Here is an 11,491-nt window from a genome sequence, read left to right as displayed (position 1 = left end):
CTTTTGCTGAGGGGCAATAGCCAATAGGGAGAGGGTGGAGAATGATGGTGTAATTGATGGAATGACGTACTTGAGGATCTGGGGACATCAGAGTCAGAGTTTATGAAGTTTACTTATTCTATAGACAGTTACTGTCCAACAACTGAGCTAGGTGCTGGGAATACAGTGGTGAGCTAAATCAAGTAAGGTCCCTACCCTCATGGACCTTAGGGAAATTCAGGGAATAAACTTCATTGTCTTTATCTGTCTCAAATCTTGAGTACAATACTTACTAATGCTACATTTTTAAAGAATCGTTAACTTTATGAGCAATTTGGGGGAAAAATCAGCTATATATGCCATGTGCCAGTGAAGACATATTCATTTTACGTTTATAATTTTACATGTTAACTTTTTAAAAGTTTTTTTTAAAAATTGAATATTTTCTCTGTAAGTTTAGAAATATTAAATATACACTGTGGGTCTACTGGTGCTGCAACCAAATAGAGAAAGTATGTATTTCAAATAAATCAGAAGTCTGCAAAGAAGTTTGAAGACCATGGGTCCCCAAACACATTTTTCCTTGACATGTTATTCCAGTCACAGAGTATTTCCCTTCCAGGCATATTAAGCTTAAAAATAAGCTGTGTTTTTAAAATTGTAAAATACCACGATAAATCCATTTTTAGTAAGAATTACACCACTTCTGCAGGAGATAAATACATGCAGAATTAACACTTTAAAAATGCTGTAAGAAATGTAAAAAATATTTTAATGGCTTTTGTAACAGTATTTTGTGAAGAAAGAATACCACAGAGTTTCTAGCCATAGAATCTCTAGAAAAATATACAGTCCAAGGAAGAACAGAATTAACTACACTGTTCATTATTACTGTCTATACCCAGCAATCTTAATCCCAATAAAATGGGGAGTGAGACAAAAAAGGAAGATGGCAGCCAAAGTTTAGGCAGGAAGAGGGGGAAACATATCTCTGAAATCCTGTCTGATTTTATAAAACACACCACCCACAAATGAAAAAGCCATATTATTTTTATGAAGGCTGAACTTCTTTGTAAAAGTGAAAAAGGGCTTCAGCAACTTATTGCAAAGAAAACCATACCTTCAAAGAATGTTTGATGCCTTTCTTGATTGAAAAGGGAAGTAAAACCCAGGCCAAGTACAAATCCAACATCTCCCCCTAAGACTGTTCTTACTGCATAATAACCCAGACCAAAGGAGGAGGTATTTTTAAATTTACACTTGTACCCTCAAAGTTCATTTACAAAATACATGTTCATGGGGAAAAAAAAAAAAACTTGTATTTGAAGAAATAATTTTAAGACAGATTGTTTTAAAACTGAAGGGTTAACCTTAAAAAGTATCTGTTTGAAATAACTGATGTTGTTCTGCTAGTTTTTTTATGGGAAAAAAACTAGCAGAACAACATCAGTTATTTCAATAGATGCTTTGTGGTTTGGGGAGCCTTGTATTCTTCATTTTTGTTTCCACACATAGACTGGAACAGGGATCAGCAAACTTTCTCTAAAGGGCCAGATGGTGAGTATTTTGGGCTTTGTGAGCTATACAGTTTCTGTCACTACTCTGGTTTCCTAACATGAAACCTGTACTGAAGGCAGGTAGCCTACCTTACTTGGTGTCCAAATGGAAATAACGCCCTTTCTTCCTGCAAGGTTTCTCTACAGGGCCCTCTACTGAGAAAACTTCTCAGAGCCGAATTTGAAGTTTTAATTTGGAGCTCAGAACCAATAAATTCATAACTGGCACACATGAATCCAAAGAAAACTCAGTGGTCTTTACTTCTACTATCACAACGTTTTAAAACAATTCTTAGCATAGGTTCCTTTGGCAAAAACAAATGGAATATTTCTCAAGCACCTTTTGGCAGGGGCTACTAGCTAGTACTGTTAGCTTATGTGTGCTAGCTAATATAACTGTGTGTGTCACTTTTCTTGAAAAATCTCAAAGGAACTTTAATTAACTGGCAAGCTCCACAACAGAAGTATGTTAAATAGAACAAAGCTAAGAACTAGGAAGTAAGCAAAAATGCTCCAAGAAACTGGCAGAGACAATGGTACTCACCAAAATATTTCATCTTCTCTTCTATATTTCCTGGGCTTCTTTGCAGTTAGATTAAGCCTGAGCTAGTTCTAGTGGATGGGCTGAAGCAAAAAAGAGGTTGTGAGTTCTCTGGGCCCTTGTACCCTGCTGGAAGAGACAAGAGAGAGTTTTGTATGGCTGGTGAGTGGTATAAAGAATGGCAGAAGAACAGGCTGGAATCTGTAAAGCTATAAATTTTATAGACTTCATTTAAGGACTACTCTTATGACAGTTTTGCAACACAGAGGTTTCATCTGGACTGTTTGCTCTTGCTAGAACACTCTGTATATCAAGGGTTTTGTGAGGAGATAACCTTAATCATGTTGTAAAACGTCCAGTGACACTCTTTCCCCAGCAATGGATGCATGCTCATATTATATTTGGACAACTAAGAGGTCTGCCCTCCTAACGCCCTCTTTATACTTTTCTACCCTGCTGTATGCCTCCAGAAGGCTAAACTGTAGATAGGGCATCAATGGGCTTTCTTTTGTCTTCCATTTGGGCTGGGCAATGGGAAACAGGATATTGGAAGAAGGGAGGAAAGTGAGGTCATGGTATTTACCTAATATATACGTTTAAATAAATATAAGTAATATGCATATACAGATATAAAAAATTTAAAGCATGATTTATTATGAGGAACACCTGGAATACCATGTTCAAGAAACAAGGACATTCTTACCCTATGTGAAGACATGGACAAAAAGATACATTCAAGATAGAAAGTTACTTGATAAACATGAAAATGAGGATTTTGTTAGCGGATATGGATGCTTAAAATATGTAAATGTGTAACTAAACTACTCGAAGACAGTAGCTCCCTCTTTTGCATGATGCTTGGACACTGCCAACATTTGCCTTGAGATGTATTTGTCTACTTCCACCGCTGAGCAACCACTCTTCTGGGTGTCACATTATTTTTTAAGCTAATGAGCAAGGGAAAAGCAGCCCATGACCTGGACTATCAGCTAGACTGTGCTGTTGCTAGGAGTTGGCCTGACACAGCTACACTGTGGTGATCTGTTGAACATAAACAATTCACAGAACACTAACACAAGACAAGGCTGTGAAAAATCAAATTAAAAAAAGACCATTCTGTAATCATGTCTGAACAGAAACAAAAACATGAACATTGTCCAAACAACAAAAATGAACAAAAACCCACTATCCTGACTAATATGCATTAGCATATTTACCAATGACAGCTTTAGTTTCACTTCATTCTGCACATTACAGCATTCCTTGCACCCTACTTCCTGACAGGATGCAATTCTGAGCAAAGCCCCCAAATCAACTAACACAAACCCAAATCCTGTAATACACCCTAACAGCCTCTTACTGAGACACCCCACATTTCCCCATGGAATGTGTTCCCCCTTGCTGCAAAGAGAAATAAATCCAACTTGTTCAACTACGAGTATGTTCCTGATGGTCTTGGGCTGGAGGACACAGACAAAAATACAGGTTTGGCCAAAGCTCTCATTGCTTGCACCAGGACTCTCAACGCAGTGCACACATCTGAGACCTCTTGTGACTTAATGTTTATGAGGTGCCACTTGCTCATGGCTGGGAAGTAAGTTCACATTGAACTGAGTTCCTATATTCTGTTGAAGCACTTCAGTGTTGACTTTATGTGTTTCCCTAGGAAGACGGTCTCTTGGAATTTTTTAAATTATCTAATCAGATTTATATTCTTTCATCAAACCATTTTTAGTCTTCTATTCCTTGCTTCTACTGCTTGCTTAATATTTAGTGTTGTCCACAGGGAAAGTTATAAACATAGTTCTGATAAATCTGTTTGCAAGTGACCTCCAAGTGCTAATGAGTTCAGAAGGTCTCCAGACCAGACATCTTAGGATAAATTTTGCCTGGGGTTACCATTTCCAAACCTGATTAAGATGTCTTCCTCAGTCTTGTCTATGTGCGCCTGAGAACTGGACTATTTTGTTTTGTCTGCCTAGACTAATAGCTGGCCCATGGCCAAACTCTGGGGGTTAGAGGTTACACATCTTTACATACCACTGCATTTCTCCTAGTCTTCACAATTTAAAACTGCACTTCTTTCAGGCCAAACACATGCTTTCTTCATGATGTCTCACTACAAGGCTAATCTGTACACTTCCATCTCTAAAACGCACCATTTCATCAGGGATATTTAGGAATTGTAGTGGTCACTTGGGCTTTTGACATGAAAAAGACAGTTCATTTGAGAAGTACTTTAAAACAGAAAGCAAATAAACTCCCATGAGCAGATGGCTTGTTTGTCTAAAAGAAAGATAATTTTGTTGAATATAGGGTTCATCTCTCCTTTGATTCCATACTTTGGGGTTAAGCAAAGCTGGCTTTTTTATTTCATGGCTTGATAAAATTATCAAGGATCTATGAGCGTGGTAACTCATGCTTATAATCCCAACACTTTAGGAGGCGGAGGCGGAAAGATCAGTTAAGCCCAGGAGTTAGAGACCAGCCTGGGCAACAAGGTGAAACCCCATCTCTACAAAAATTATTAATAAAAAAATTAGCCAGGTGTGATGGCACACACCTGTAGTCCCAACTACTCAGGAGGCTGAGGTAGGAGGATGGCTTGAGCCTAGAGGTGGAGGCTGCAGTGAGCTGTGATCACAACACTGCACTCCAGCCTGGGCAACAGGGAGAGATCCTGTCTCAAAAAAAAAAAAAAAAAAAAAAAAAAAAAAATCATGGTTCCAAGTTACTGCCCAAAAAAGCCATCATTCTCTTTCAAGTATGTATATGTTGAAATCCAATTTTCAACACGTAAGCTTTCCTTCCTCCACTTACGGAGAAAACAAAATAAAGCTTTACAGTGATAATTTCATATCTACCTGAAACCAGTTTCATTATTTCTTCCTCTGCTTCTTCTTTGTTCCTCTTACTCTCCATTTCTCTCTTGGAAAGCTAAACATTTATTGATTTTTTAGAAAATTGGCTTGTCAGAGTCCAATTTCTCATGTTGTAATCATTCTAAAATGCCTACATTGGCTTTATGAATAAGTTACCGCTGTTTTTAAAACTTCTTTAAAATTTATATGTAAAAAATTATATTCAACTAAAAAGAATGATGATAAAGGATATCTTTAAGGGTTCTTTGCCAATATTTTTCTAGGTTTTTTTTTTAGAAAAATGTTTTTGCTGTCACCATGTATACCTTGAATTTCCATATGTGCAGTTTAAAAATGTAAAGGGTAAAAATGCATTTCGATTCCAATTCCATTAGTAACATGAGCCAGCTTGTCACCATTTCATATGTGTGGAAAAAAGTAATAACTTTTAAAGACCAGTTTCTAGTTATATGGCAAAGTATAAGCAAGCAGGGGGTATGAAGAAGCACAGCGATCCAAATTGTGGAAAAATCTCTACTGACACTTTCTCTCCTGGTGCCCTTCCGGCTGCATCCTCTCCTCTCTTTAGTGATGCTTCTTCCTCTGCCAATTGATTAAATCTCACAGATCCTCAAATTCTGTTGTGGCAATTTTTGATATCGGTCTATACTCTATACATGTATATGTTCTTTCTGGATGATTTGATCTACTCTGGCTATTTTTAGTTATGACTCCCAAATAATTATCTCCAATCCAGATTTTTTCCCCTAGATTCAGACCCAAATCCAGTTGCAGGAGTTACCTTTTGACCCCCATGTCTTCGTGCATGCTGCCTCTCAGCCCAGCTTACACCTCCCACCAGCCAGTGTGCCCACGCAGCTGAGTGACACAGGTACCCATATTCCCTGTTCCTGTTAACACCCTGAGCATCTCCTTTTCTCTACATGTACCCTGTTATTATCTTCCTTTTGAGTGTGTGTCCTATGAGAGTTTCTTGGCAGCTGGTTACCAATCACAGGTGTAACACATAATATTGTTCAATAAATTATTGAACAAACAGGGTCCATTTTTAATGTGTGTGGGTGGACTTAACAAGCCATAAATTCTAAACTAGGTTGTCTTCAGGGGCAAAACCAAAAAACAAAACACACACACAAAAAACAACGAAAATGCAAATTCAGATTCACAAGCTTTAATCATTACTTTTTCTGTTATACATTGAATTGTGGATGTCCTTTAATTAGTAAAACAGCCACTAAAATTGTTTTTATGGTTTGCTATCACAAAAGTCGAAGGATTGCTAGAATGCTGTTTACCTGTTTCAACAGCTCCCATCAACTACCGCTACTCACTTTACATAGAAATAAAAACAGCTACTATTCATTGAGCCTATTTCTATATGGGAATCTTAGTGTCCTCACACACATTAATTCACTCAATTCTCCCCAAACTCTATGAGGTAAACTATTATGCCCATTTTAGAGATGAAACTGAGGTTTAAAGAGATTAAGTTTCCAAAAATCAGATAACTAATAAGGAGTAGAGTGAATCTGAATTTAAGTCTCATTGCAGAGAGCTAAAGTTCTTACACAGCATGGTATGCGACCTTTCAACCACTGGAAGGGGCATTGTGAAGTTTGCATATAGTATGCCAGTCATCACCAATTATGGGGCCTGACTAAGCCTTTTGATTCCAGGCAGGCACAACTAAACAGACCAGTCCTCGGGGACACAAAGACAAGACTGGCCCTGCAGGAAAAACAAAGATCAAACAAATCCTGGCCAAGCCACAGCCACACTGAACGGCTTGCTTATCTCTGCAGGAAAGAGTGTGTGTGTGTGTGTTTGTGTGTAAATAAAACTATGGATTATAACTCTATTAAAAACTGGAATTCAGTTCCCATCAGATTTTGTCTTAGGCCTTTTTCCATATGGTCTTATGCTTAAAGAAATACTGGCCTTTTAAATTCATAATCACACATCAGCAAGAACTACTGTTTGTTCATCATGGATCATGGGCTGAGCTGATTTTGTAGGAGTATGCATTTTAAACAGCCCGTAAACTATTCGGGTTAAAAAAAAAACTCTCAAAAACAAAAATGGTGAGGGGCTGACTGAACGTTGAGGCAGGCAGAGTATGTGAGGGGATGCTAAGAATCCTTTGGGTAGTGGTGGGAGAGGCGGGTGGCGACAGGGCAGTTACAATGCCTCGTATCTTGTCTATGTTGCTCATCATGTAACAAGAGCTGGACAGATTCCTGTGAATCTTCCCAGGGGAAGGCAAAGGTGCTTTTTCTTATGAATGTCTTGATGTCCCTTGTCCTTATTTCTTCATCATTTTGGTAACAATCCCTCAGATGCCTCATCCCTTTAAGAAATTTAGACTCAAATGTCAAAACCATATATGCATTTTGTTCCACTGACCCCAAGTGGTAACTGTGAGTAGTAGTTCTAACAATGAGGCATTTTTTAAAAAGTCCTATTAATGTTTACCTATAATTTAACCTATAAGGATAAACCCATACCCCCATTGAACATGGTACTTTTTTCCATTTATTGTCTAATATGTGGCACACAGTAAATGAACAATCTCAATCCTTAAAACAGGTGTTATGACTTTTACATATGACAAAACCACAGAGTAAATAGCAGAACATCTCGAACCTGCCCAATAATTTGCCTCCTAACAGAGGTGTGTACGGCCTGACCTTTGTACACCTCAAAAATGGCAACATGGGAGAAGTAATTCCATCATTCATCCACACACAGCAGAGAGGTACAAGTACTAACAGAAGCTGATCTCTCATATTAACGTATGTATTTGTTCCTTGTCCCGTCTTCAGGAACCAATAAAAATAAAGTGAGCTCCGAGAGAGTGGAAATCTGGTTGGCCTCATTCACAGCTCTACTCCTATCACTTTGTACAGAGCCTGGCATAGACAGCTGTTCAATAAATACTGGGGACAAAATAAAGTCCATGTGGGAAAATGGGCCAGCCGCTACCAAGGATGAAGACATACAATATATACATATATTTTTGGGGAAGACTTCAATTCCGACTCACAGGAAAGATGAATCCAAAGATGTGAAATCTGTACTGGGATCTTTTTTGTGGGGTCTGTGAGCCAGGATGAAATTTGCTGAGGATGAAATAAATAGGAGTGTCAATTAAGGGCAGAAGATGATTACTAGTGTTAACTTTTCAATGTGGATTCCTGGTCTGAAATGTGTTTCCCCCTGCACTTACATATTTGGTCCTATCTTTCCTTACATGTTTATTAAAGCAATATTGTGCCATTAGGCAATGCAACTCCCAAAGACATTACTGGAATGAGGTCATTGCTTCAGGCTAGTGGGAGAATATAAGAGAGTTCAAACAGGTTATTTGTTGGGTAAGAACCCCTAAAAGCAAGAGGTTTTTGTTTTGTTTGAAAGCAAAGTCAAACCGATTCTCAAAGTGAATATGATATGATGAAGACAGGATCATTATGAAGCTAGAAACTTGACAACATCACTTTAAAAGCTCAAGCATATGTAACCCACGACTAAAGGCGCTGCAATGTTATGCAATATGACTGTCAGGGGAACGAATTTCCAACCTCATGACTCACTTATTGAACGTTTCCTTCATTAAAAAAAAAATATGAACATAAAAGTGCTATATAAAGATATCTGATATCCAAAGCATGAAAGCACAGCAGCTACTAGGCTAGGAAGAATCTCAAGTTGACATCGTGCCATCAGAGCCACCCTTCCAAGACGGAAAGTTACTCCACTTTTTGAAAAATATGGCCGCAGACACTTCCTGCCCCGAGCTCAGCTCGATCCGACGGTATCTTCCCAGAACTTGGTCCTGAGTGCTCACAAACTGGCAGGAGAGCGAAGGCTCTGTGAAAGGGAAGTAAAAATAATTCCGAAGGAGGCCTCACCGCACCGACTCTGCCTCCCCTTTGCCCTACTGACAGCGAGGTGGCTTCCACCCTGCCCACCTCCAGGCCACCCTCCCCTGACGCCTCGAGGGTGACCTGCGGACTAAAGCCGTCCAGAGTGGCTCAAGCCCACCCACCAGTGCCTGCTCCAGGGGTTTCCCGGTCGCCCCCCTCCCCTGGGGCCATCCGACATGTCCCCGCGACTACACAGCTCTCTCGACCAAACGATTTTCACCAACTTTATTGGCTCCCGCCGGGACCCTCGCCGCCCACCTCCCCGCTAGATGTCACCGGCCCTCCATGACATCCAGCACATTCAAAAGCATTGCGGGACGACCATGAAAAGGGCCTTTGCTGGGGGAGCCAGCTCCCTGAGGGCGGCGTCAGGGTCATTTGCTCTTCGTCTTCTGACTCTCCGTCTTCTTGGGCAGCAGCACGGCCTGGATGTTGGGCAGGACGCCGCCCTGAGCGATGGTCACTTTGCCCAGCAGCTTGTTTAACTCCTCGTCGTTGCGGATGGCGAGCTGCAGGTGGCGGGGAATTATCCTGGTCTTCTTGTTGTCACGCGCGGCGTTGCCAGCCAGCTCCAGGATCTCCGCCGTAAGGTACTCCAACACCGCCGCCAGGTACACCGGCGCCCCGGCGCCCACTCGCTCCGCGTAGTTCCCTTTGCGCAGCAGTCTGTGCACTCGGCCCACCGGGAACTGCAGGCCCGCGCGGGAGGAGCGGGATTTGGCCTTTGCTCGCACTTTGCCGCCCTGTTTCCCGCGACCGGACATGATCACCTCTCGCCTACAACTCCAGAGACGGAGACAAACCGCTCTCGGCGTCCGGTACCGGAATGCAACGTACCGCACCCGAACTGCCTCTACAAACTCTTTACGGCCGCGCGGCAGCCCCTTTCCATTGGCTCTGGTGACCAATGACAGGCAGGCTCCGCTCCCAACTAGCGCTCTGGAAGAGAGACCGCCTCCTCCAGCTCTCTCCAATCAATAGAGCAATCTCCGAATCCTCATTTACATAGCCGCTCACATAAATAACGAGGCCAGCCGGCTCAGTCTTTGGGGACCCAGATGAATTTAGCGGTTACGGGTTTTCCACGACCACGCTCGCTTCCAAGCACATAAACTCGTAGGAAATAAGAAAACATGGTTGGAAACAGAAAACAATCCAGAAGAAGAGCTACAGGGGTTGTCCGTAGACGTTGCTATGCTAAGTGGATGTTCTCATATAATACACCGTACTACTCAGGTAGGTTTCTGTCTCCGCAGCCCGTGCTGCTTAGGCGAAACAACAGCCTGTCCGCGGAATTCTGCCTGCCCAGGACAGGGTCCGTGGACTGTTTCTTATACAAGCGCCTTGCCTCCAGCTAGCTACCCAACAGTGTAGAGACCACCCTGGTCTCCCCGCAGGGTCCTGCGGCTCACAGCCAGCCAATCGTTCACTTTTGAGTCTGAAGCTAGAGTGATGACCAGACGTGAATGCTTCCTGTGCTGACGGGAGGAACAAGCTCGCCTAGCCAAAATATCTTTTGTCTTTGAGGCTATGGGCCTGCAAAGAGCCACTAGGTTTTATTGGAGAGGCCAAAGTCTTGGCCTTGGCTTGCTCCCCGCAAGCCAGGGCGCCACAGATCAGCGGATCGGGTCCTCTGCGAAGACGTGGAGGTCCCCCGGGTCTCTTTGTAAATGAGTCCAGAGACTAAAGTCAGAATGGCAGCTTATTCTTATATACCTGAATTGTGGACCCATGCTTTTTGAAACAAAAAGAGTGTTTCAAGTGTTTTGTTTTAATTAAAAATTACTTTCTCCTAATTCATCGAGGTCATTTCATTTTTACCTGAACATTTTCAGTAACACAGTTAACACCGATACGTGATGTAATGTTGAACGCTTGCTTTTTAAAATAAACATTTTATGTGGATTCATTTACATTTAAAGTAAAGCAAATTTACCTTCTCACTATCCGAATAAAGATTTGACTTCATTGAAATAACATTTTCAAATATTTATGTATATGTCATTACTGCCTAGAACAATGATGAACCCATACTGGGGACTCAATAAATGTCTTCAGAGCTATTGTCATGGTTTAGGCGGTCTTTCCGGAGCCAGTCTGCCTCAGCCTAAATCCTGGCTTTACCACTGAGCAGTGACCTTTGATAAGTTATTTGACTCCTCTACCTGTATCAAAGTGTTTTGAAAATTAAATACGTTAGTAAGCATCCAATAACTCTTAGATATACCAAATAAATGGGCATACAAATCTCTGATGCAGTTTTTAACGAGATGTTCCTGGAATGAGTTCTGTAAACTAGCTTAAATTTTTGCCTGTATCTTGGGGAATTTTCAAGAGTTTTTAAAAGTATTACTATTTTAGACACGATTTTTTTTCTTTTATTCCAATAAGCAAGAGATTTCTAATTTGAAAATGTTCTAGTCTTGATTTCTTAGAAAGCTTAACTATAAGTAAGTCAACCGATTTTACCATTACAATAATTTTTTTTTTTTTTTTTTGAGACGGAGTCTCGCTCTGTCGCCCAGGCTGGAGTGCAGTGGCGCGATCTCGGCTCACTGCAAGCTCCGTCTCCCGGGTTCACGCCATTCTCCTGCCTCAGCCTCCCGAGTA

The 11,491-nt window shown here is 41.2% G+C and overlaps 1 protein-coding gene across 2 annotated transcripts, besides 8 other annotated features; it reads right to left on the bottom strand.

Annotated features, from left to right (window-relative positions):
• Positions 1,109-1,188: a silencer, noted in NCBI's record as "silent region_4276". NCBI's record gives its function as "represses an Ori minimal core promoter by ATAC-STARR-seq in GM12878 lymphoblastoid cells {active_cell/tissue: GM12878}" and the evidence as "EXISTENCE:reporter gene assay evidence [ECO:0000049][PMID:35858748]".
• H2AJ (H2A.J histone) lies at positions 6,114-9,711 on the bottom strand. Of its 2 annotated transcripts, NR_027716.3 has the most exons (2): positions 9,140-9,711; positions 6,114-8,825 (listed from the first exon to the last, which is right to left on the bottom strand). NR_027716.3 is itself a non-coding variant. In NM_177925.5 (1 exon), exon 1 carries the CDS (start codon positions 9,643-9,645, stop codon positions 9,256-9,258), a length of 390 nt encoding a protein of 129 aa, NP_808760.1. In that variant the 5' UTR covers positions 9,646-9,711; the 3' UTR covers positions 9,092-9,255. The 2 variants fall into 2 exon arrangements, 1 of the variants encoding a protein (NP_808760.1); NM_177925.5 differs by lacking the exon at positions 6,114-8,825 and having other exon boundaries at positions 9,092-9,711.
• Positions 8,457-9,373: an enhancer, noted in NCBI's record as "H3K27ac hESC enhancer chr12:14927677-14928593 (GRCh37/hg19 assembly coordinates)". NCBI's record gives its function as "activates a minimal SCP1, AML or CMV promoter by ChIP-STARR-seq in naive H9 embryonic stem cells {active_cell/tissue: H9 hESC(naive)}" and the evidence as "EXISTENCE:reporter gene assay evidence [ECO:0000049][PMID:30033119]".
• Positions 8,457-9,420: a biological region, named in NCBI's record as "H3K27ac hESC enhancer GRCh37_chr12:14927677-14928593".
• Positions 8,601-8,750: an enhancer, noted in NCBI's record as "active region_6056". NCBI's record gives its function as "activates an Ori minimal core promoter by ATAC-STARR-seq in GM12878 lymphoblastoid cells {active_cell/tissue: GM12878}" and the evidence as "EXISTENCE:reporter gene assay evidence [ECO:0000049][PMID:35858748]".
• Positions 9,261-9,420: an enhancer, noted in NCBI's record as "active region_6055". NCBI's record gives its function as "activates an Ori minimal core promoter by ATAC-STARR-seq in GM12878 lymphoblastoid cells {active_cell/tissue: GM12878}" and the evidence as "EXISTENCE:reporter gene assay evidence [ECO:0000049][PMID:35858748]".
• Positions 9,374-10,291: an enhancer, noted in NCBI's record as "H3K27ac hESC enhancer chr12:14926759-14927676 (GRCh37/hg19 assembly coordinates)". NCBI's record gives its function as "activates a minimal SCP1, AML or CMV promoter by ChIP-STARR-seq in naive H9 embryonic stem cells {active_cell/tissue: H9 hESC(naive)}" and the evidence as "EXISTENCE:reporter gene assay evidence [ECO:0000049][PMID:30033119]".
• Positions 9,431-9,760: an enhancer, noted in NCBI's record as "active region_6054". NCBI's record gives its function as "activates an Ori minimal core promoter by ATAC-STARR-seq in GM12878 lymphoblastoid cells {active_cell/tissue: GM12878}" and the evidence as "EXISTENCE:reporter gene assay evidence [ECO:0000049][PMID:35858748]".
• Positions 9,951-10,160: an enhancer, noted in NCBI's record as "active region_6053". NCBI's record gives its function as "activates an Ori minimal core promoter by ATAC-STARR-seq in GM12878 lymphoblastoid cells {active_cell/tissue: GM12878}" and the evidence as "EXISTENCE:reporter gene assay evidence [ECO:0000049][PMID:35858748]".

Source organism: Homo sapiens, chromosome 12, assembly GCF_000001405.40.
Source record: "Homo sapiens chromosome 12, GRCh38.p14 Primary Assembly".
Lineage (NCBI taxonomy): Eukaryota > Metazoa > Chordata > Mammalia > Primates > Hominidae > Homo > Homo sapiens.
This window is presented reverse-complemented; position numbering and strand designations above follow the sequence as displayed.

Excerpts from the sequence above, each read along its gene's own strand:
- H2AJ (NM_177925.5), bottom strand. The coding sequence starts at position 9,645 with ATGTCCGGTCGCGGGAAACAGGGCGGCAAAGTGCGAGCAAAGGCCAAA.